Raw genomic sequence first — 24,397 nt, forward strand, 5'->3', positions numbered from 1 at the left:
TTGTTGGTCCCTCTATCTGAAATGCTCTTTCCTTCTTACCCCAACTCCTGTTCAGTCCCTGGCAAATGCCTCTTTATTCTTGAAGATGCAGCATAAACACCACTCTTCTGTCTGGTCTTCACACCTATCCACTTCACAATGCTTCACCTCTTCCCAAATCAGAACTAATAACTCCTGCCGCAGTCACTCTTGTTCAGACTTTTGCTAGATGTTTAGTGCCTTGAGGTCTAACTAATGGCCTAAGTACGTCTGTCCCTATTAGATTGCCAATATTTGTAAAGTGCTTAGAAGAGTATCTGGCATCTAATAAGTACTTTATAAGTGATAGACAGATAGACAAGTGAAGTGTGAGCTTCTGGAGGGAGGGATCATATCTTTTTTTTTTTTTCTTTTAATGTATCTTTAGTGCCTAACATAGTGACTAGCCTAAGAGCAACTCAGTGAAGTGTGGTGAATATGTGGATTATTAAATTCAATTCCAGTTTCTTAATGTTCTGTTCTCATTAGGATTTATGTTCATTGGTTTTAGAGGCTTGAATTTATTGGAAGCAATCAGTTTGTGTGTTCTTTCCAGAATATGTGCAAAATAAAATACTACTTTCTGTACATTGCTCATGTTGGCTTCTATGTAGAGTGAAAGGTTGAACTAGCTGTCTTCTAACATCCCCTCTAATGCTAAAAGATGATAATTTACTACGTAGACATGTAGAATAAACAGAGCGCTTTGACCTGTCTCCCTGTAAGCCTCAAAATAAATCCATGCTGTCAGCAGGGCAAAGATCACTGTCATTTCTCTCTGCTCTGTCTGCTAATCACCATCCCCTGCCCCCAGCATTATTGATGGGGAGATTGAGGTTTAGAAAAGTTGTGATTTACTCCAGGTCCAAGAACCGTGAGTTCTATTGATTACTATAGTTTTCCTCTGTTCTTACAGTTCTTTCGGTAGTTTCCTCTCTTCTGTGGCTGTATGGTCTACAAGGTCATATTGGATTAAACAATTATCATATTGACCAGTTGAAAAGATTTTTAGTTAGGCATGGAAAGAGACTGCCTTCGCCAGAGAATAATGGAGAATAATCCCTGTATGGAGTGAAAGAGTGAGGAGTGAGTTTTTATACTTTACTGCATTCAGTTCTGTTGTCTCTCTAATGTCTACATCTTGATCACACACTCACACCAACTGCCCAGTGCAGTCAATTAATGAAAACTCAGATGAACAATGTATATTATTATAGTGTGGTTTATTTGGTTAATAATCTTGGATTTTATTTCTTTCAGATAAGCCATGGTTTGATTTCAGAAAGTGGTACCAAATTATGAAGAAAGCTTTTGATGAGAAAAAACAAAAATGGGAAGAAGCAAGGGCCAAGTATGTTCTCCTTCCTGGTTTAGATGCACCTGCCTTACTTCTGTGTCTGTTACTTTACATTTGAAAGCTGAAGCTTCATCAGTATACACTTATCTACATTGTGACTTTTTTTTCTGGAAATATTAGCCCTACACTCTAATTAACTTTTCTCTTTTTTACATTACTATTAATCAAAGTTTAGATTTGATGTGGATTTCACCAGTGTTTTTATTAATGTCCTCTTTCTGTTCCATGATCCAATGCAGGATACCACAGTATACTTTTTATAATTTAACTTTTTATAATTTGCATGAGACTTGCCTATATTTCTAATACTCCTCCCTCTTCCCCTTTCTCAAATTTAGTCATTTCTCATCTATGCTTCCCAATATTAAAAAGATTACAAATGTTACCTTGCAACATATGTAATTGGAATGTTCCCCCAAAATAAAGATCCCTGTGAAAATTAAAACAAAGGAAAGCAGATAGCAAGTCCATTTGATTCAGCCAGTGTCACTGCCTTTCTTTGAACTGTCATTCTGATGTGGGCTCATTGTGGTAGGGTAGAAGAGAGCATAAGCAGCGCTAGGTTTGAATCCTGTCTGCATTACAAGCTAGCTGTGTGCCCATGGGCCAGTTACTTAACCTTTTGCTGAGTCTGAGTCTCTTTGAGGCTTTGAAGAAAAAGGTAACATCTCTGTATTTAATGTAAATTTACAGTAATACTAATTCGACTCAGTAATTTTATATCCTTTGAGAAAAATCAAGGTTCCCCATATTAGTTGAAATGAGAATTTGTTCAGCTCCTATTTCTTCATCAGTAAAATAGACATAATAATGCCCACTTATATACTGTAATTAAGACCCAATTTTCCAGTATGAGAGTAGAACTAGATTATTTTTCCTCTAAATTTCAGAGGGCTTTTAAATAGAAAAACAGACTCTTGGGGTAGAAAAGGCACTGTGGAGATGATCCTTTCCATAGCAGGGAAGTGTGACAGGTTCCCTCTCAGTAGGCAGGATTGATGCACAATGAAGAAGAGGGGTGGAGGTGAATTTATCCCAACAGCCCATGGATTCCCAGGAAACCAGGCTCCCTGCCTCCTCATCAGAGAAGGAGTGACTCTTCAGTCAGTGGCTCTCAGTGGGCACAAGAATAGCAGCAGGAACAAGATTTTGTTATGTGTCTTAGGTCATTTTGGAGAATCAGCCTTCCTTTCTGTGGTGCTAGCTGGGGTTAGTCCTGACGGATCCTAAGGACTGGGTGCCTAGGGGCCATTCCTCCCTGGGGTCTCAGTGGTGACAGGGCTTTCCTTACCCCAAGCCAGACACCAACCTACACTTTAAACATAGCTCTTGGAGGCCCAGTTCATTATTGCAGTGTTATGTCAGTTGCACATTTAAGACTTACCGGCTTTTAGCTACTTTAGGGAATAATTTATTGGCCAAAGAAAGTAAGTCTGGTTATAAAATGGCACTTTCCAGGGAGGTACCGGGCCCCAAGGTGGAGGCTGTCGAGGGGACCCGTTTCCAAGGTCCTTCTTCCTAGAGTATGTGCTGAGGGCTGACACACACGTGCAGTGTGAGTCACTGCTGAGTAATATGCGAAGCACTACCAACTGCTGCTCAGGCCCAGAGCTCAGTGCGTGGTGGCCACCTGTCGGTTTCACCCTTCCCCACCCCCATGTTGACATACATGTCTAATTTTTCTCTTTGTTTCTCTGAATATTATCATCCATGTTGTCAGATGAAAATTATTAAAACATTTTCTATATCTGAGCATGGGTTCCTATGCATGAGATTATGAAAAACACTAATAAACAATAGTTGAAAACCTAAAACAGCGTAAGAGGCTACTTTGATGACTTCTAGCTGTTATAGAAGATGTTGAGAAGAACATGGAGAAAAATTAAGCCTGTGCAGAAAATCTCTATGCCCTAATTGGTGTATAGTGATATCTCATTATGGTTTTAATTTGAGTTCACTGCTAATTTTTGCCTTCCCTTTTGGGTTAGGCAGAAATTTCTTAGATGTGACACCAAAAGCATGATCTATAAAAGAAAAAAAATTGGTAAATTGGACTTCATCAGAAGTAAGAACCTCTGCTCCACAAAAGAACTTAAACGAATAAGAAGCTACAGACGAGGAGAAATTAAATGCAAATCACATATCCGTTTAAAGATTTGTATCTAGAGTATATAAAGAATTTTTAGGCAATAAGAAAAAAACTCCATTTTTTTAAATGGGCAAAATATTTGAAAAGACGTTTTACCAAAGATGATATCAAGATGGCATGTGAAAAGATGTTTAACATCATTAATAGGGAAATGCAAATTAAAACGACAATGACATATCATTATATACCAATTAGAATGGTTCAAAACAAAACAAAAACAAAAACTGATCATTCCCAGTGTGGGAATTCAAAATGGTACCGCTATTTTGAAAAGTTGTCAGTTTCTCAAAGTTAAACATACATTTATTATGTTATCCAGTGTTTTTCACTCCTAGATATTTACCCTAATGAAATGAAAACAAGCTCACACAAAAATCTGCATAGGAATGTTTCTAATGGTTTCATTCATAATTGCCAAAAACTGGCAACAAACCACATGTTCTTCAACTGGTGACTAGCTAAACTGTTGTATCCGTACAGTGGAATACCATTTAGCAGTACAGACTTCTTATGCATCCAGCAATATGAGTGAATCTTAAATGCATTATGCTATGTGAAAGACTCAAAAGGTTACTTATGCTATGATTCCATTTATATGACATTCTGGAAAAGGCTAAACTATGGGGACAGAAAAACAGACCAGTAGTTGCCTGAGATCAAGGGTTGACTGTCAAGGGATGTGGGAGATATTTTGGAGTGATGGAACTGTTCTACGTAGTAATTGTGGTGAGTACACACATGCAACTGTATGTGTTTGTCAGTGCTAGCAGAACTACACTGAAAAGAGTAAATTTTACTGAATGTAAATTATACCTTAATTTTTAAAAATGAGGAAACATATGCAGACAGACAAGAGAGAAATATATAGATAACATGTAACTGGAAAACATGGTTTGTGATGTGTCTCCTTTTGTAGTTTTATGTAATGAGAAAAGGCAGGCAAGGTAAAGTCAATTTTGGAAGAAGCTTTCATTTCAGGTATCTGAACACTTAAGAGTATTTTTATTTTAGATCACCTTTCCCATTCTTGGGGCATATCACCCCAAGGGCATCATAATGCTTTCTTGATCTGTGGCATGATTGCCACTTGTGTAGGCATTTACTGTAAATGCATAAGAAACTTCCATTTAGATTAGGTATTCACAAGGAATGTTTAACAGTGAGTGTGCCCAGGGATTGGGATTAGACTGTTCAGGGAACTTCTTTATCCTTTGAGATTTTATTATTTAAGAAAATTAATGGCAAAAAAATATATTTTAAAGAATCGCTAACTCATTTACCATAACATTAAATGACAAACTCTCTGATATATTTTAAATGTGGTATGGTTCACTAAAGTTTAGTTTCACATGATTTTCAGGAAACCATCTCCTGTATAACATTAATTACATCTCTACTGCTACCTAATGATTAGAAAAATTTCCTTTCTGTTCTTTTTTTTTTTTTTTTTTGAGATGGATTTTTGCTCTTGTTGCCCAGGCTGGAGTGCTGGAGTGCAATGACACGATCTCGGCCCACCGCAACTTCCGCCTCCCGGGTTCAAGCAGTTCTTCTGCCTCAGCCTCCCAAGTAGCTGAGATTACAGGCATGTGCCACCATGCCCAACTAATTTTGTATTTACTAAAGAGACGGGGTTTCTCCATGTTGGTCAGGCTGGTCTCAAACTCCCAACCTCAGGTGATCCTCCCACCTCAGCCTCCCAAAGTGCTGGGATTACAGGCATGAGCCACTGCGCCCGACTCCTTTCTGTTCTTAACATTTAATATCATTGCAGAAATTCAAAATAAAAAGTCAACATCTGTTTTATGTATAGTCATGATTTTACTGACTTGATCAAGTATTTTTTAAAATTCTTGAAAAAATCAGTTCTTAAATCGGTTAAAATGATTATTTGCTAAATGATATTACTAAAATATTGTTAAAAATGTGTGCTTTTATATACGTATTACTTCCTAGTATTAAAAATAAATGGTGAGAAATTATTATAGATGCTACAGATTTTTAAAATATTTGTATTTCTGGCTTCCTATTTTTAATCTGTTTTTCTGGAAAGTTCACAGATATTTCTTGAGTATCTACTAGCCAGGCACTTTGTCAAGTACTAATAATAATTCTAATTATTGTATAGGATTTAAAGAACCAATACATACAGCATCTTATTCTTCAGAATAACCCTGTGAAAGTAGAGGATAAGTTTAGAGATGCTAAATTCATTTCTTTGTTCATTTATTCACCCAATTATTCTTCAACAAATGTTTAAATGAGTTCCTACTCTCTACCACTCCCTGACAACACTAGGGGCATAAGGATGGCTGAGACAGTCTCTGCCTTTAAGAACCTCCATAATTTGTCATTCAAGGTCATGCCACTAGAAAATGGTGGAGCCGGCCGGGCGCGGTGGCTCACGCCTGTAATCCCAGCACTTTGGGAGGCCGAGGCGGGCGGATCACGAGGTCAGGAGATTGAGACCATCCCGGCTAAAACGGTGAAACCCCGTCTCTACTAAAAATACAAAAAATTAGCCGGGCGTAGTGGCGGGCGCCTGTAGTCCCAGCTACTTGGGAGGCTGAGGCAGGAGAATGGCGTGAACCCGGGAGGCGGAGCTTGCAGTGAGCCGAGATCCCACCACTGCACTCCAGCCTGGGCGACAGAGCGAGACTCCGTCTCAAAAAAAAAAAAAGAAAATGGTGGAGCCAGGTCTTCTGATTCAGTACTCTTTCTTGTTGCCACAGTGTCTTTCAAAATAAGAAAATGGCCTGGGATTAAGAAGAAGGTGGATTTTTAAAATTATTATAAGTTATGAAAGTTCTCTGCTCTAGGGAACACAGAAATAATAAAAATGAGACCAAGAATGAACCTTGTTGTCTTTGTTCCAGAGCAGCAGCGTCTGCTTGGCAAAGTTTAGCAACAGCCACTAGAACTAGAAATAGAACATGTCACTTCCTTTTGGAGTCTGGAACTGATCACCCTCATCTGTAGGAACCTTAGATGGCTCTTAGTGTTTGTCCTGGAGGGAACCCCAAGAGCCAGAGCAATCCAGGATCCCCATTTTACAGTGGAAACTCCCTGGCCATCCTTCCCTTGGCAAGAATAGGCTGAGTCAGAACAGGGACTACTGGGACTGTGTCATCCTGGAATCCAGTCTTTTCCTCTCCTTTACACCAGGAATAGAATAGATTTCCTGGCATCAGATGCCAGAGAGACGCATTTACTGTTCACTGTGTGTAAGTTATCAGAATCAGAAGTACTACTAACAACTCTCAGCAAAAAGGCATTGGGACAAAGGCAATGAGGAACAGTTGTTTCTGAGGTAGCTTCACTTTATGAGAATGAGCAGCAAGGGAAATTTATGGTGAAGGAAACAGTTTCTATGTTTTTTGTATAATTAATAGCTTCTTCAAGATGTCACAGCATCTGGGTGGCTTTTGAGAGGAGCACACCATTCTCTTGGCCTGGGCTGTTGGTCAGTGGTTCCTTCTAGGGCCTAAGTTCAATAGGCAATATAGACATGTGCCAGTAGGCCATTCCAAGCCAGAGCTATAACGAAATATCAGAAATCTCAGATAGTGCTTCAGACAATGTGTTTATGTCCGTTTCATCTCCGTCCTGCTCCAGCTGTTTCTTTACCTTGTACAGGTACCTGTGGAAAAGTGAAAAGCCACTCTACTACTCATTTGTCGACAAACCAGTAGCATATAAAAAAAGAGGTAAGTCAAATTTTGTCTTTTTAATACCAAGTAGCAACACAGTTGTAGAAAAATTAAATATCTGGACTTGAAATGTTGAATGCTTAAGTTTTTTACTTTTTTTAAACAAATGTTCCAGGGCACATGTACATCCAAAGGAGCATCATACTCTGCAAGAAATCTCTGCAGGAATCTACTTCAGGAATATGTCGTTCTTCAAAACAGAGCCTCAGTTCCTGCCAAAATCTAAAATCCTAAATCGTTATGATTTTGGAAATTCTTTGCTTATAGAATTCCTTTTAGACTGTACATTCTTTTTGAAGTAAGGTTTCCCCCATGCACCTCATCCAGTTTCATTTTCCCTTAACGTTATCCTGTTACATTACTGTGGTACATCTGCGAAAACTAAGGAACCAATATTGGTACATTCCTATCAAGTAAATTCCAGGCTTTATTTGTGATTTAACATTACTTGTTATTTTGTTTCCTTTTTTTCTCCGGTTCCAGAAATGGTGGTGAATCTACAGAAACAATTTAGCACACTGGTCGAGTCAACAGCAACTGCTGGAAAAAAAAGCCCTTCAAGTTTTCAGTTCAACTGGACTGAAGAGGACACTGATAGAACGTGTTTCCATGGACACAGCCTTCAGGGAGTCCTGAAAGAGAAAGGCCAATCACTGCTGACTAAGAATTCATTATATTGGCTTAGTACACAGAAATTCTGCAGATGGTAATAATGCTTTTAGAAAAAGTCACATATAATTGAAGTAGTTGACTGTATAAGAGCCAGATAGGTTTTTTGTTGGAATTAGAAGCTGGTGAGCTTAAAGTCACGAAAATCAGAATTATACATTGAGTCTTGTGTAGGAGTTCTAGGAAAGCTGGTAAAAATCAAGAAAGAGGATACAGGGCAATTAGCACAAACTATCCCCTCTAGCTAAATTAACCTGCAGTGTGGCAGGCAAGCAATAGAAGTGGCTGTAAATGCTGATCAGGAGAATGTGCTGTATTTTTTAGTACATATCACTTCTCTGAGTCAGTTACCTTTATCATGTCTTTCTACCTCTTAATACTTCCTTAAGTATTTCCTAAAAATAAGGATATTCTCTTAAGTGACCACAGTACAGTTATCAAACTCAGGAAACTTAATACTGATACGATACCTTTATCTCACCCACAGTCCATATTCCAATTTTCTCATTAGACCCCCAGTGTCCTTTTATAGCAGGATCAAGTTCAGGAGTAGGTATGGCATTGATTGATTTTATCTCTTCGGTCTCCTTTAATCTGATTGTCCCTCAGCCTTTCTTTGTCTTTCATGACATTGAGCTGTATTTTTCAGAAATGTCAGTGATGTTACACAATGTTTCTGAGTATGGTTGTGATGGTTCCTCATGTTTAGATTCAGGTTCTGCATCCCTGGCCAAAACAAGTGCCGTGTCCTCCTCAGGGTATCATTTCTCAGGGTATGGCGTCTGTAGACTGGGGCGGGGGGCGGGGGGTCCATTTGCCCCTCAGGTGTTAATAGTGATCACCCAGTCAAGGTGCTGTGTCGTTTTTCCACAGTGTAGTTACTATGTTTCCCCTTACAACTAATAAAAAATCTGCAGGGAGATACTTGGTCAGTGAAATACTCTGATCTTCATTCAACTTTGTCCCCTTGATTTCATGTTTTATGTTCTGTCCTCGTATCTGTCGAGTGTGGGCATGTGAAGTCTAGAAAACAACACGCGCTTTTATGGTTATTGGGTCTGGATAAAATAGGACTAAAGATGGGAAGCTGCACTGAGGAGAGGAATCTGTGTAGGACATAGTGGAAAACTTGTATGTCTAAATAGTAAGACACAGGCTTTTGACTTCATCAGGTTTAATTAATGATCGGCTCTGTGGCATACTGGCTCTTAGACTTCCGGCTTAGTAATAGGCTGCCTTCTTATTTTTGCTTTATTTTTTCAGAAGAGTTATATATTCCCTATAAACGGTCGATATTGGAATAATACAGTGTAAATTCTTAAGTAATTTATGAGGTCTTGCTGTGTCACCCAAGCTGGAGTACAGTGGCACGATAATGGCTCACTGCAGCCTCAACTTCCTAGGCTCAAGCAATCCTCCCACCTCAGCCTTCCAAGTAGCTGGAACTACACGTGTGCACCACCATACCCAGCTAATTTTTTATTTTTTGCAGAGACGAGGGTCTCCCTATGCTGCCCAGGTTGGTCTCAAATGCCTGAGCTCAAGCAGTCCTCCTGCCCCAGCCTCCCAAAGTGCTGGGATTACAGGTGTGAGCCACTGCGCCCAGCCATCTATTTTCATATGACTCAGAAAATTTCCTCAGGCAGTAGATAGTGAAGAACATATTACTCCCCAGAGCACATTCGTTTTTCTTTAATTGTACTGAAAATCAACTCCAAAAGTATTTTTTGAGTACTTGATAAAAATAAGTCATTATCCTAAGTCCTAGATAGATACAAAGGTAACTCAGGAAGTTTGTTTTCCAAGTCCACTTGAAGAGAAGATTTTTTTAATAAGAGTATGTTTTCCCCACTTTCCTTCTGTAGTGTCTTAATAGCTGTAGAGAGGAGTATATGGATTAAAAATTACAGAGATAATCAGTGGGGTATACAGGTGTTTACCATAAAATTCTTTCAACTTTGCTGTATGATTGAAATTTTTTATAATAAAGTTTGAGGAGAAAAACTAAAAAGATTCAGGCTATGCCATGAAGTTTTTTTCTCCTTGCCTATTTTAACTTTTAGTTCCGTTTTATATAATAATAGCGAAAAGGCCATTCAATAAAATAGTTCTGTGACTTTGAAGTTACTTTACCTTTCAGTGTCTTCCTGTTAAAAATAAAAAGACTAGACTAATATTCCCTCACTAAAGTTCTCAGTAATTAACGTGTGAAAAATAAAAGCATAAAGGCTTTTCTCATTGTGACTATATTTAAAGTAATCTCATCCCCATATTGACATAGAAATTGCCCAAGAGGAAATTTTCTAGTAGCTAAGAGGACTTGCTATAGAATCATAGAATCGGGCTGTTTCTATCCTAAGTCTGCCACTTGCTAATTGTAGGAAGGTTACTCACTTCTCTACAGCTGTGCTGACCCAGTTGTAAATGTGGGGATAATACTGATCTTTTCCTCTTCTCAAAACCTTCAGTGGCTCCCATCTCATTGAAAGGAAGACCCAAAAAACATTGTGGAGCCAACACGGCCCTCTTGACCTTCCCTCTGCTGTCCTCTGACCTCCTTGCTGTCACCCTATGTTCAGAGTGACCTCCCAGCTGCTCCTTGAGCTTACCAGACACTCCCCACATGGGCCTTTGTACCTGCTCTGCCTCCTGCCTAGAATGTTCTTTCCCCCATGTATCCACATGGGCTCACTTCTTTCAGGTTTTTGCTCAAATTTCACTTCCTTGGAGAGATTTTTCTCAGCCATCCTGCCTAAAATAGCACCAATCATTCCCCCAACACCCCTCATTATTCTCTGTCCCCTGGCCTATTTCATTTTTCTTTGTAGTTTTCATCACTATTTAATAGAATATATTATTATATATTTATTTTGCTTATTTATCCATCTCCCCACACTAGAATGTAAGGGCCTTGAGAATGTAAGGACTACTAGAATGTAAGGAGGACTCTGTTTTATTTAATGAAAAATCCCAGCGGCTAGACCAGGGCCTAGCACAGACTAGGTGCCCACCAAGTATTTATTGAATGAATGAATGGAAAATAGGGCCTACCCCAAGTTCTTGTGAGAATTGAATGAGGTATTTGATGTGTGTCACATAGTAAGTACTCAATCAAACATAAGTATGACCATTATTATTTTAAACAAAGCTAATTTTCTGTTAACTAATGTTATTTCCTGGTCTGGGCTTGGTGGCTCCACCTGTAATCCTAGCACTTAGGGAGGCTGAGGCAGGTGGATCACTTGAGTCCAGGAGTTCGAGACCAACCTAGCCAACATGGCAAAACCCTGCCTCTACTAAAAATACAAAATTAGCCGGGTGTGGTGGTGCACGTGTATAATCTACTCGGGAGGCTGAGGCATGAGAATCACTTGAACCCGGGAGGCATTGGTTGCAGTGAGCTGAGAGCACACCACTGCACTCCAGCCTGGGCGACAGAGCAAGACTCCATCTCAAAAAAAAAAAAAAAAAAATTATTTCTTAAGTTGGTATCAATCAAAGATAATTGAACTGTAGAAAATACAGTGGGAGATGATAAAGTTGTCTATATTAAGATTTGCTGCTTAAAAAAAAAGTTGAGCTGCATCTACAACGATTAAAGAGTGGCACTGTTGGCCGGGCACGGTGGTTCACACCTGTAATCCCAGCACTTTGGGAGGCCAAGGCGGGCAGATCACCTGAGGTCTGGAGTTCGAGACCAGCCTGACCAACATGGAGAAACCCCTGTCTCTACTAAAAATACAAAATTAGCTGGATGTGGTGGCGCATGCCTGTAATCCCAGCTACTTGGTAGGCTGAGGCAGGCGAATCACTTGAACCCAGGAGGTGGAGGTTGCAGTGAGCCGAGATCACGCCATTGCACTCCAGCCTGGGCAACAAGAGCGAAACTCTGTCTCAAAAAAAAAAAAATTGATTTAAGAGTGGCACTGCTTAATAGCAGCCACGGGGAAAGGCCAGAACCCCAACCCAGGGTCAGCGCCATGTCTGAGGTAATCGATTCCTTTGCATTGGTCATGTCAATGATTTTCAGATTTTATCCTGAAGAGGAGAAAGAGTTATAGTCCCCAGTGAAGAGTGCTTGCCCACAACTCCAAGTGAAGACATGGTGTGCCATGCCCTGCCTCCTCCAGCTGCAGAGTTGGTCCTGAGCAGCTTATGTCGTGATCCGTACCTTTGTGCTTTTTCACAGGGCAGGAGGGTGGATTGTGGATTATCTCAGATTTAATACTGCAGTATAATGCAGTGAGTTATACATAGAGCTTAGTATAGTCAGCGATGAAACTGCTGAGATTTTTTTCTCTGCATGAAGTATAAAACTAAATTCTAACTGTATGAAGTTTCAGTGATACCATGACTTTAGGCACCAAACTTATCTGTCAACCTTACCTGTTCTAGACCAGAGCCTAGAACTGCAGAGGAAGCAAAAAAGGCTTCAGCTGGGCAGTAAAAATGCCACAGAGACCGTGACTAAAACTCAGCCTTTTTTCTCAGAGAGCCCCTTAGCCCCTCGCTCAGAGCCCCTGACTCTGCCCTTAGGCTGAGTTGTCTGATTTCCAAACTCCTCATCATCAAAGAAACAAAAGGAGAGGTCTGAGAAGCACTCTGCTGATAGACATCTTGACGGCAAACATAAATGACACCCTTTGACAACAATAGGGGAGCCAACATCAGAATCCAAAGCAGACAGAGCTCCAGTCGCAGAGCCTGAAGTTCATGGCTCCATGCCACTAAATAAGGGGACCACATCCCTGCTTCAGCACAGCACCTGTCCTAAGACGCTGTGTGCCTTCGTGGTGGGTTTTATTAGCATGTTTTCTAATGTTTCTACAATAAAAACAGGCAACTGTAATAATATCATTGTAAAGGCTAAAATATGCCGAATATGCTCTAAGACAACCATTGAAAATGATTACAATGAAAAGTGATGCTTATGAGAGCAAATATTTAGCTATGTATCGAATTTTGTTAGGCAGAAGGACTCATTTCTGAGTGTTCAGAAGAAACAAAACATTTGCTGTAAAATTGTGAAAACACTCAGAGCTTGGGAACTAAGCAGAGAAAGGCCACAAGAGTACTTCAGGTATGGGAGGCTGTTTATTCTTCCTAGCTGAGGCAGAGTTAACAATTTCAATGAATTGAAATGCCCTTACTATTCCTCCAATTGTTATAACAGTTGGCTAGGTCAGAAGACCTGACTTCTTGTAGGTGGTGGCCGTCACCTCCCTGGGAGTTCCACAGATGAGGCAGAGCAGTGGTCTTTAGTTGTATTCCACAGGAAATGGAAGTGCTTTGGCAGCCCCACAAAAATGTGATTTTAATTTTTTAAAAATTATTTTTTAACTATTTTTTTAAACTATAGTGAAAAAACAGTACTCAGGCCGGGCAGGGTGGCTCACACCTGTAATCCCAGCACTTTGGGAGGCCGAGGTGGGCGGATTACGAGGTCAGGAGATCGAGACCATCCTGGCCAACATGGTGAAACCCCATCTCTACTAAAATACAAAAAATTAGCCGGGCATGGTGGTGCATGCCTGTAGTCCCAGCTACTCAGGAGGCTGAGGTAGGAGAATGGCATGAACCCGGGAGGCGGAGCTTGCAGTGAGCCAAGATTGTGCCACTGCACTCCAGCCTGGGTGACAGAGTGAGACTCCGTCTCAAAAAAAAGAAAAGTGTAAGTACTGTTATTTTTTTCCGTTTTACAGATGAGAGAACCAAGAGTAGTTACCCATAGTCACAGCTAATGGGTGGCAGAGGGTTTTGTTTGGTTGGTTGATTGGTTTTGGGTTTTTTTGTTTTGGGGTGTTTGTTTTTTTTTTGAGACAGAAGCTCGTTCTGTCACCCAGGCTAGAGTGCAGTGACACAATCTTGGCTCACTGCGACCTCCCTGGGTTCAAGCGATTCTTGTGCCTCAGCCTCCCGAGTGGCTGCTACTACAGACATGCGCTACCACCCCTGGCTAATTTTTGTATTTTTAGTAGAGACGGGGTTTCATCATGTTAGTCAGGCTGGTCTCAAACTCCTGACCTCGTGATCTGCCCGCCTCGGCCTCCCAAAGTGTTGGGATTACAGGCATGAGCCACTGTGCCCAACCAAGTGGCAGAGTTTTATGGTGCAAACATAGACATTCAGGAATTTAGGGCCGTATATATTATGTAAATCATAATATCTCAATGTCTATAGCTTCTATATGTTATTTCTTTACTTGCTTTTTAAAGTTGATAATGGGAAATTTCTGGTATACTCAGAAGTAGAGTAGTATAAAGAACCCCCCGTCTCTGTCACTCAATCTCAGCAACTGTGACATGGCAAGACTTGCTTCACCCAGGCTCCAGCTTACTCTACCCCTCTGCCCCCCATTATTTGGAAACAGATCTCAAACATCATATTTTTTAAAGTAAAACCATAATACCATTAATCAGATATAAAAAATTAAGTCATTTCTTAATATTCTCCAATATGCAGTCAGTGATTAGATTTTTCCCTATTGTCATAAAATTTTTTAAATGAGTTTAACTCAGAATCCAAATCAGGCCCATATATTGCAAGTGGTTGACATGGCTCATAAGTGTTTCAGTTCTTAAGGCCCCACCTCTTTATCTCTCTCTTTTTTCTTCTTACAATGTACTTACTGAGTAATCCTGGTCATGTGTCCCATACAATTTCTCATAGTCCAGATTTTGTGTATAGACAGTGCCATATGATGCCATCTAACCTCTTCCTCTATCCCTGGATAGCCTATATGTTGATGTAGTTAGTTTGAGATTGGCAGTTATGGCCAGGTGCGGTGGCTCATGCCTGTAATCTCAACACTTTGGGAGGCTGAGGTGGGTGGATCACCTGAGGTCAGGAGTTCGAGACCAGACTGGCCAACATGGTGAAACCCCATCTCTACTAAAAATACAAAAATTAGCCGGGCATGGTGGTGCATGCCTGTAGTCCCAGCTACTTGGGGGGCTGAGGCAGGAGAATCACTTGAACCTGGGAGGCAGAGGTTGCAGTCAGCGGGGTGAGACTCTGTCTCAAAAAAAAAAAAAAAAAAGAGAGATTGGCAGTTAACATTAGTTAGAGATTTGATCAGATTCAGGTTTAACTTTTTTTTTATATATATACTTTAAGTTCTAGGGTACATGTGCACAACCTACAGGTTTGTTACATAGATACATGTGCCATGTTGGTTTGCTGTACCCATCAACTGGTCATTTACATTAGGTATTTCTCCTAATGTTGTCCCTCCCCCTGCCCCCACCCCACGACAGGCCCCAGTGTGTGATGTTCCCCGCCCTGTGTCCAAGTGTTCTCATTGTTCAATTCCCACTTATGAGTGAGAACATATGGTGTTTGGTTTTCTGTCCTTGTGATAGTTTGCTCAGAATGATGGTTTCCAGCTTCATTCATGTCCCTGCAAAGGTCATGAACTCATCCTTTTTTATAGCTGCATAGTATTCCATGGTGTATATGTGCCACATTTTCTTAATCCAGTCTATCATTGAAGGACATTTGGGTTGGTTCCAAGTCTTTGCTATTGTGAATAGTGCCACAGCAAACATACATGTGCATGTGTCTTTATAGTAGCATGATTTATAATCCTTTGGGTATATACTCAGTAAGGGGATCACTGGGTCAAACTGTATTTCTAGTTCTAGATCCTTGAGGAATTGCCACACTGTCTTCCACAATGGTTGAACTAGTTTACAGTCCTACCAATAGTGTGAAAGCATTCCTGTTTCTTCACATCCTCTCCAGCACCTGTTGTTTCCTGACTTTTTATTGATTGCCATTCTAACTGGTGTGAGATGGTATCTCATTGTGGTTTTGATTTGCATTTCTCTGATGGCCAGTGATGATGAGCATTTTTTCATGTGTCTGTTGGCTGCATAAATGTCTTCTTTTGAGAAGTGTCTGTTCATATCCTTTGCTCACTTTTTGATGGGGTTGTTTTTTTCTTGTAAATTTGTTTAAGTTCTTTGTAGATTCTGGATATTAGCCCTTTGTCAGATGGGTAGATTGAAAAAATTTTCTCCCATTCTGTAAGTTGTTCACTCTGATGGTAGTTTCTTTTGCTGTGCAGAAGCTTGTTAGTTTAATTAGGTCCCATTTGTCTATTTTGGCTTTTGTTGCCATTGCTTTTGGTGTTTTAGTCATGAAGTCCTTGCCCATGCCTATGTCCTGAATGGTATTGCCTAGGTTTTCTTCTAGGGTTTTTATGGTTTTAGGTCTAACATGTAAGTCTTTAATCCATCTTGAATTAATTTTTGTATAAGGTGTAAGGAAGGGATCCAGTTTCAGCTTTCTACATATGGCTAGCCAGTTTTCCCAACACCGTTTATTAAATAGGGAATCGTTTCCCCACTTCTTGTTTTTGTCAGGTTTGTCAAAGATCAGATGGTTGTAGATGTGTGGTGTTATTTCTGAGGCCTCTGTTCTGTTCCATTGGTCTATATCTCTGTTTTGGTACCAGTACCATGCTGTTTTGGTTACTGTAGCCTTGTAGTATAATTTGAAGTCAGGTAGTGTAATGCCTCCAGCTTTGTTCTTTTTGCTTAGGATTGTTTTGGCAATGCGGGCTCTTTTTTGGTTCCATATGAACTTTAGTTTTTTCCAGTTCTGTGAAGAAAGTCATTGGTAGCTTGATGGGGATGGCATTGAATCTATAAATTACCTTAAGCAGCATGGCCATTTTCACGATATTGATTGTTCCTATCCATGACCATGGAATGTTCTTCCATTTGTTTGTGTCCTCTTTTATTTCGTTGAGCAGTGGTTTGTAGTTCTCCTTGAAGAGATCCTTCACATCCCTTGTAAGTTGGATTCCTAGGTATTTTATTCTTTTTGTAGCAATTGTGAATGGGAGTTCACTCATGATTTAGCTCTCTGTTTGTCTGTTATTGGTGTAAAGGAATGCTTGTGATTTTTGCACATTGATTTTGTATCCTGAGACTTTGCTGAAGTTGCTTATCAGCTTAAGGAGATTTTGGGCTGAGATGATGGGGTTTTCTGAATATACAATCATGTCATGTACAAACAGGGACAATTTGACTTCCTCTTCTCCTAATTGAATACCTTTTATTTCTTTCTCCTGCCTGATTGCCCTGGCCAGAACTTCCAACACTATGTTGAATAGGAGTGGTGAGAGAGGGCATCCCTGTCTTGTGCCAGTTTTCAAAGGGAATGCTTCCAGTTTTTGCCCATTCAGTATGATATTGGCTGTGGGTTTCTCATAAATAGCTCTTATTGTTTTGAGATATGTTCCATCAGTACCTAGTTTATTGAGAGTTTTTAGCATGAAGGGCTGTTGAATTTTGTCGAAGGCCTCTTCTGCATCTATTGAGATAATCAGGTGGTTTTGTCATTGGTTCTGTTTGTTGTTGTTGTTGTTGTTGTTGTTGTTGTTTAGAGACGGAGTCTCGCTCTGTCGCCCAGGCTGGAGTGCAGTGGCACAATCTCGGCTGACTGCAACCTCCGCCTCCCGGGTTCACGCCATTCTCCTACCTCAGCCTCCTGTGTAGCTGGGACTACAGGTGCCCGCCTCCACACCTGGCTAAGTTTTTGTATTTTTAGTAAAGACGGGGTTTCACCGTGTTAGCCAAGACGGTCTCAATCTCCTGACCTCGTGATCCACCCACGTCAGCCTCCCAAAGTGCTGGGATTACAGGCGCGAGCCACCGTGCCTGGCCTTTGGTTCTGTTTATGTGATGGATTATGTTATTGATTTGCGTATGTTGAACCAGCCTTCCATCCCAGGGATGAAGCCGACTTGATCGTGGTGGATAAGCTTTTTGATGTGCTGCTGGATTCAGTTTTCCAGTATTTTATTGAGGATTTTTGTATCAATGTTCATCAAGGATATTGATCTAAAATTCTCTTTTTTTGTTGTGTCTCTGCCAGGCTTTGGTATCAGGATGATGCTGGCCTCATAAAAATGAGTTAGGGAGGATTCCCTCTTTTTTCTGTTGATTGGAATAGTTTCAGAAGGAATGGTACCAGCTCCTTGTTGTACCTCTGATGAGTTCGGCTGTGAATCCGTCTGGTCCTGGACTTTTTTTGGTTGGTAAGCTATTAATTATTGCCTCAATTTCAGAACCTGTTATTGGTCTATTCAGAGATTCAGCTTCTTCCTGGCTTAGTCTTGGAAAGGTGTACATGTCCAGGAATTTATTCATTTTTTCTAGATTTTCTAGTTTATTTGCATAGAGGTATTTATAGTATTCTCTGATGGTAGTTTGTATTTCTGTGGGATCGGTGGTGATATCCCCTTTATCATTGCATCTATTTGATTCTTCTCTTTTCTTCTTTATTAGTCTTGCTAGCGGTCTATCAATTTTTTTCATCTTTTCAAAAAACCAGCTCCCGGATTCATTGATTTTTTTAAGGGTTTTTTGTGTCTGTATCTCCTTCAGTTCTCCTCTGATCTTAGTTATGTCTTGCCTTCTGCTAGCTTTTGAATTTGTTTGCTCATGCTTCTCTAGTTCTTTTAATTGTGATGTTAAGATGTCGATTTTAGATCTTTCCTGCTTTCTCTTGTGGGCATTTAGTGCTATAAACTTCCCTCTACACACTGCTTTAAATGTGTCCCAGAGATTCTGGTATGTTGTGTCTTTGTTCTCATTGGTTTCAAAGTACATCTTTATTTCGTTATTTACCCCATAGTCATTCAGGAACAGGTTGTTCAGTTTCCAAGTAGTTGTGCGGTTTTGAGTGAGTTTCTTAATCCTGAGTTCTAATTTGATTGCACTGTGGTCTGAGAGACCATTTGTTGTGATTTCTGTTCTTTTACATTTGCTGAGGAGTGCTTTACTTCCAACTATGTGGTCAATTTTGGAGTAAGTGTGATGTGGTGCTGAGAAGAATGTATATTCTGTTGATTTGGGGTGGAGAGTTCTATAGATGTCTATTAGGTCCACTTGGTGCAGAGCTGAGTTCAAGTCCTGGATATCTATCCTTGTTAACCTTCTGTCTCGTTAATCTGTCTAATACTGACAGTGGGTTGTTAAAAGTCTCCCATTATTATTGTGTGGGAGTCTAAGTCTTTGTAGGTCTCTGAGGACTTGCTTTATGAATCTGAGTGCTCCTGTATTGGGTGCCTATATATTTAGGATAGTTAGCTCTTCTTGTTGAATTGATCCCTTTACCATTATGTAATGGCCTTCTTTATTTCTTTTGATCTTTGTTGGTTTAAAGTCTGTTTTATCAGAGACTAGGATTGCAACCCATGCTATTTTTGCTTTCTATTTGCTTGGTAGATCTTCCTCCATCCCTTTTTTTTGAGCCCATGTGTGTCTCTGCATGTGAGATGGGTCTCCTGAATACAGCACACTGATGGGTCTTGACTCTTTATCCAATTTGCCAGTCTGTGTCTTTTAATTGGGGCATTTAGCCCATTTACATTTAAGGTTAATATTGTTATGTGTGAATTTGATCCTGTCATTATGATGTTAGCTGGTTATTTTGCCTATTAGTTAATGCAGTTTCTTCCTAGCCTTGATGGTCTTTACAATTTGGCATGTTTTTGCAGCGGCTGATACCGGTTGCTCCTTTCCATGTTTAGTGCTTCCTTCAGGAGCTCTTGTAAGGCAGGCCTGGTGGTGACAGAATCTCTCAGCATTTGCTTGTCTGTAAAGGATTTTATTTCTCCTCCACTTATGAAGCTTAGTTTGGCTGGATATGAAATTCTGGGTTGAAAATTCTTTTCTTTAAGAATGTTGAATATTGTCCCCCGCTTTCTTCTGGCTTGTAGAGTTTCTGCCGAGAGATCAGCTGTTAGTCTGATGGGCTTCCCTTTGTGGGTAACCGACCTTTCTCTCTGACTGCCCTTAACATTTTTTCCTTCATTTCAACCTTGGTGAATCTGACAGTTATGTGTCTTGGGTTGCTCTTCTCAAGGAGTATCTTTGTGTGGTGTTCTCTGTATTTCCTGAAGTTGAATGTTGGCCTGCCTTGCTAGGTTGGGGAAGTTCTCCTGGATAATATCCTGCAGAGTGTTTTCCAACTTGGTTCCATTCTCCCCGTCACTTTCAGGTACACTAATCAAATGTAGATTTGGTCTTTTCACATAGTCCCATATTTCTTGGAGGCTTTGTTTGTTTCTTTTTACTTTTTTCTCTAAACTTCTCTCTTACTTTATTTCATTAATTTGATCTTCAATCACTGATACCCTTTCTTCCACTTGATCGAATCGGCTATTGAAGCTTGTGCATGTGTCACATAGTTCTCATGCCATGGTTTTCAGCTCCATCAGATCATTTAAGGTCTTCTCTACGCTGTTTGTTCTAGTTAGCCATTCGTCTAATCTTTTTTCAAGGTTTTTAGCTTCCTTGCGATGGGTTTGAACATCTGCCTTTAGCTCAGAAAAGTTTGTTATTGCCGACCTTCTGAAGCCTACTTCTGTCAGCTCGTCAAAGTCATTCTCCATCCAGCTTTGTTCCGTTGCTGGCAAGGAGCTGCAATCCTTTGGAGGAGAAGAAGTGCTCCAGTTTTTAGAATTTTCAGCTTTTCTGCTCTGGTTTCTCCCCACCTTTGTGGTTTTATCTACCTTTGGTCTCTGATGTTGGTGACCTACAGATGAGGTTTTGTTGTGGATGTCCTTTTTGTTGATGTTGATGCTACTCCTTTCTGTTTGTTAGTTTTCCTTCTAACAGTCAGGTCCCTCAGCTGCAGGTCTGTTGGAGTTTGCTGGAAGTCCACTCCAGACCCTGTTTGCCTGGGTATCACCAGTGGAGGCTGCAGAACAGCAAATATTGCTGCCTGATCCTTCCTCTGGAAGCTTTGTCCCAGGGGGCACCTGCCTGTATGAGGTGTCAGTCGGCCCTTACTGGGAGGTGTCTCCCAGTTAGGCTGCACGGGGGTCAGGGACCCACTTGAGGAGGCAGTCTGTCTGTTCTCAGAGCTCAAACACCATGCTGTGAGAACCACTGCTTTCTTCAGAGCTGTCAGACAGGGACGTTTAAGTCTGCAGAAGTTTCTGCTGCCTTTTGTTCAGCTGTGTGCTGCCCCCAGAGGTGTAGTTTACAGAGGCAGCAGGCCTTGCTGAGCTGCAGTGGGCTCTGCCCGGTTTGAGCTTCCTGACCGCTTTGTTTACCTACTCAAGCCTCAGCAATGGTGGACGCCCCTCCGCCTGCCAGGCTGCTGCCTCGCAGGTCAATCTCAGACTGCTGCACTAGCAGTGAGCAAGGCTCCGTGGGCGAGGGACCAGCTGAGCCAGGCTCAGGTTATAATCTCCTGGTGTGCCGTTTGCTAAGACCATTGGAAAAGCGCAGTATTTGGGTGGGAGTGTCCCGATTTTCCAGGTACAGTCTGTCATGGCTTCCCTTGGCTAGGAAAGGGAAATCCCTTCCCAGGTGAGGTGATGCCCCGCCCTGCTTCGGCTCACCCTCCGTGGGCTGCACCCACTGTGCAGCCAGTCCCAGTGAGATGAACCAGGTACCTCAGCTGGAAATGCAGAAATCACCCGTCTTCTGATCATGCTGGGAGCTGCAGACCAGAGCTGTTCCTGTTCAGCCATCTTGTAACGGAAGGCTTTCCTATTTTAAAATAATGGAAATTGCTTGGTAAACTCTTCTCTCACAATACATATAGTATTGCAAGCTACATTATAAAGTCTAGTGTCTTATTTTGGGTGGAAGTCAGGAATTATTTGTTTTCTTTAGTTTGTTTTAGAAATATGTTCAGAATCTCTCCCTGTGTGCTTTTGTTTGCCTTGACCATGGTAAGAAAGTGGAGTGGTGGCCCATCTGGAGTGAAGAAACTTTGAGCAAAGAGTTGAAGGACCAGCTCTTAGCACCACCTGTGGCCCTTGTGTGGTGGCCATGGACAGTGTGAACATGTTTTCCTTTGTGCAGTTAAGGAGTTAACAAATTCTTCTAAGTTTCCTTCCAGCTCAGGGTCCTGTTTTAAGCCTAACCATATATATTTGCTAAGTTATTTGGGGGGATGTTCAGGGGTTAGTGTGTGCATTTCTTGGTTACCATCTAAAGATAAATTCTTTTTTCTTTTTCCCTTCTAGCTATTGTACACATGTGACAACCTATGAAGAATCAAATTATTCTCTGAGTTATCAGTTTATACTAAATCTCTTCTCCTTCCTGCTCAGAATAAAGACTTCCCTTCTCCATGAAGAAGTGAGCTTAGTTGAGAAGAAACTTTTTGAGAAAAAATACAGTGTAAAAAGAAAGAAATCAAGATCCAAGAAAGTGAGACGACATTGAGAAAATGAAATAGAAACTTTCTGGAAAAATATTTTAATAGTGATAATAACATCAGATTTTAATATAACATTCCAGAGAATTGTGGAAAATACTGCATATATATGTATAGACTCTGACACATATTTACATATATATCAAGTGTGCTTAGAAAAATGTATATTGTAAAGCAGGTGAGCTTCATTTGATTTTATTTTTCAGAGTATGAACATTCTAAGAGAAAGTTAAAACAATAGCAAATTGTATAATTGTATCCAGAAATGTATACTCATCGTATTTTAAAGCTAAATTTATTTTTTAAACTAGATCCCTTCATTATTCTTTATGCCCCAGAGTAAATCCCAGATGGATCAAAGATCTAAACATAATCTTTCATATGTAAAAATATAAAAGTATTAGTAGAAAACAAATATGAATGCTTTGATGATCTTGGAATGGCAAAGTCAATTTTTGCAGCATATGGTGGACAAAGAAATAATTTCTTTAATGTATCAATAGCTCTTGCAAAGCAAAAGGAAAAAAGCAAACTGAGTAAGGGATATGAAAAATTAGTTTTCTGAGGCCGGGCGCGGTGGCTCACACCTGTAATCCCAGCACTTTGGGAGGCCGAGGTGGGCGGATCACGAGGTCAGGAGATCGAGACCATCCTAGCTAACATGGTGAAACCCCGTCTCTACTAAAAATACAAAAAATTAGCCGGGCATGGTGGCGGGCGCCTGTAGTCCCAGCTACTCAGGAGGCTGAGGCAGGAGAATGGCGTTAACCTAGGAGGCGGAGCTTGCAGTGAGCCGAGATTGCGCCACTGCACTGCAGCCTGGGTGACAGTGCAAGACTCTGTCTCAAAAAAAAAAAAAAGAAAAGAAAAATTAGTTTTCTGAAGGCCAAGCCAAAAAACATCATAGGATACTCGACCTCACTTATACTCAAGAAATACAAATTGAAATGAATACTGTTTCCCACATACTGGATTGGCAAAGATTATAAAGATGTGTAAAACCTGGTATGGACATTGGAAAATCAGGCATTCTTGTTCTGAGTTCATTTATGCATGCAACAGATAGCAACTCCTGTGTTCAGGCATGTTCTAAGCACTGGGGATACAGCACTGAACAAGACCCCCACCTTTAAAGATCATAGGTTCCAACTAGGTGAAAGCTGATAGTAAAAATATATATTATTTTTGAGGGAATTAAGTACAATGAAGAAAAAGCAAGAAAAGATAAATGATAAGGTAGGCCATTTTTTAAAGGGCGGCTGAGGGAGGATCCTCTGGGGCAGTGGCATTAGAGCAGAGACCAACTTGCCTGGAACACAGTAGCACGAGCAGCCATGCAGCCATCCAGGGGGAGATCAGCCCAGGCAGAGGAAAGATGTGCAGAGGTTCTGAGCAGGGGCATGCTGGATGCAGTCAAGGACTGGCAGGGTGTCCAGAGTGGCTGGAGCACTGTGGATAAAGGGGAGAGGGAGAGCAGATGGGCAGGTGGGATGGTAGAGGTTGCTCTGAGGTCACGGTAAGGATGACCTTACCACGGTTGGCTTTTTTCTCAAATGTCACAGGAAGCCACTGGAAATTTTTAAACAAAAGAATGATGTGATCCAACGTATATCATAAAAGTATCACTGACTACTCTGATGAGTACACCGTAGTGGGGATGTGAGCAGTGGTTAGAGAGTTCATTTTGAATTGAATGTATTTTGTTACTCTCTACCTGTTTCACTTATTGTAAGGTTTTCTTTTTTCTTTTCTTTTTTTTTTTTTTTTTTTTTTTTTTTTTGAGACAGGGTCTTGCTGTGTCACCCAGGCTGGAGTACAGTGGTGTGACCTTGGCTCACTGCAGCTTTGACTCCCTGGCTCAAATGCTCCTCCTGAGCCTGACTAGCTGAGACCACAGGCATGTGCCATCATATCCAGCTAAATTTTTTATTTTTTGTAGAGACAGAGGTCTCAGTATGTTGCCTAGGCTAGTCTTGAAATTCTCGGCTCAAGTGATCCTCCCACCTCAGCCTCCCAAAGTGCTGGGATTACAGGTATGAGCCACCACGCCTGGCTGACTACAACTTTTAATATTTTTTAATTTTTGCAACTTTTTTTTTTTTTTTGAGACAGAGTCTCACTCTGTCGCCCAGGCTGGAGTGCAGTGGCACGATCTCGGCTCACTGCAAGCCCCGCCTCCCGGCTTCATGCCATTCTCCTGCCTCAGCCTCCTGAGTAGCTGGGACTACAGGCGCCCACCACCACGCCAGCTAATTTTTGAATTTTTAGTAGAGATGGGGTTTCACCGTGTTAGCCAGGATG

At 40.9% G+C, this 24,397-nt stretch overlaps 1 protein-coding gene across 5 annotated transcripts in view, besides 2 other annotated features; it reads left to right on the plus strand.

Annotated features, from left to right (window-relative positions):
• Positions 1–22,536, plus strand: part of TAF1B (TATA-box binding protein associated factor, RNA polymerase I subunit B) — a 90,975-nt gene extending 68,439 nt beyond the window's left edge. For all 5 annotated transcript variants that reach the window (NM_001318976.1, NM_001318977.1, NM_005680.3 and 2 more), the window contains 4 exon segments: positions 1,279–1,369; positions 7,161–7,231; positions 7,718–7,940; positions 21,903–22,536. In NM_001318976.1, the coding sequence (NP_001305905.1) occupies positions 1,279–1,369; positions 7,161–7,231; positions 7,718–7,940; positions 21,903–22,104 (587 nt within the window). In that variant the 3' untranslated portion in view covers positions 22,105–22,536.
• Positions 5,548–6,049: an enhancer, noted in NCBI's record as "H3K4me1 hESC enhancer chr2:10057557-10058058 (GRCh37/hg19 assembly coordinates)". NCBI's record gives its function as "activates a minimal SCP1, AML or CMV promoter by ChIP-STARR-seq in primed H9 embryonic stem cells {active_cell/tissue: H9 hESC(primed)}" and the evidence as "EXISTENCE:reporter gene assay evidence [ECO:0000049][PMID:30033119]".
• Positions 21,163–21,368: a silencer, noted in NCBI's record as "fragment chr2:10073172-10073377 (GRCh37/hg19 assembly coordinates)". NCBI's record gives its function as "represses an EF-1alpha promoter that drives an FKBP-Casp9 reporter gene in an ReSE screen in phorbol 12-myristate 13-acetate-treated (for megakaryocytic differentiation) K562 erythroleukemia cells {active_cell/tissue: K562(+PMA)}" and the evidence as "EXISTENCE:reporter gene assay evidence [ECO:0000049][PMID:32094911]".
• Positions 22,537–24,397: the final 1,861 nt, after the last annotated feature.

This window comes from Homo sapiens, chromosome 2, assembly GCF_000001405.40.
Source record: "Homo sapiens chromosome 2, GRCh38.p14 Primary Assembly".
NCBI lineage: Eukaryota > Metazoa > Chordata > Mammalia > Primates > Hominidae > Homo > Homo sapiens.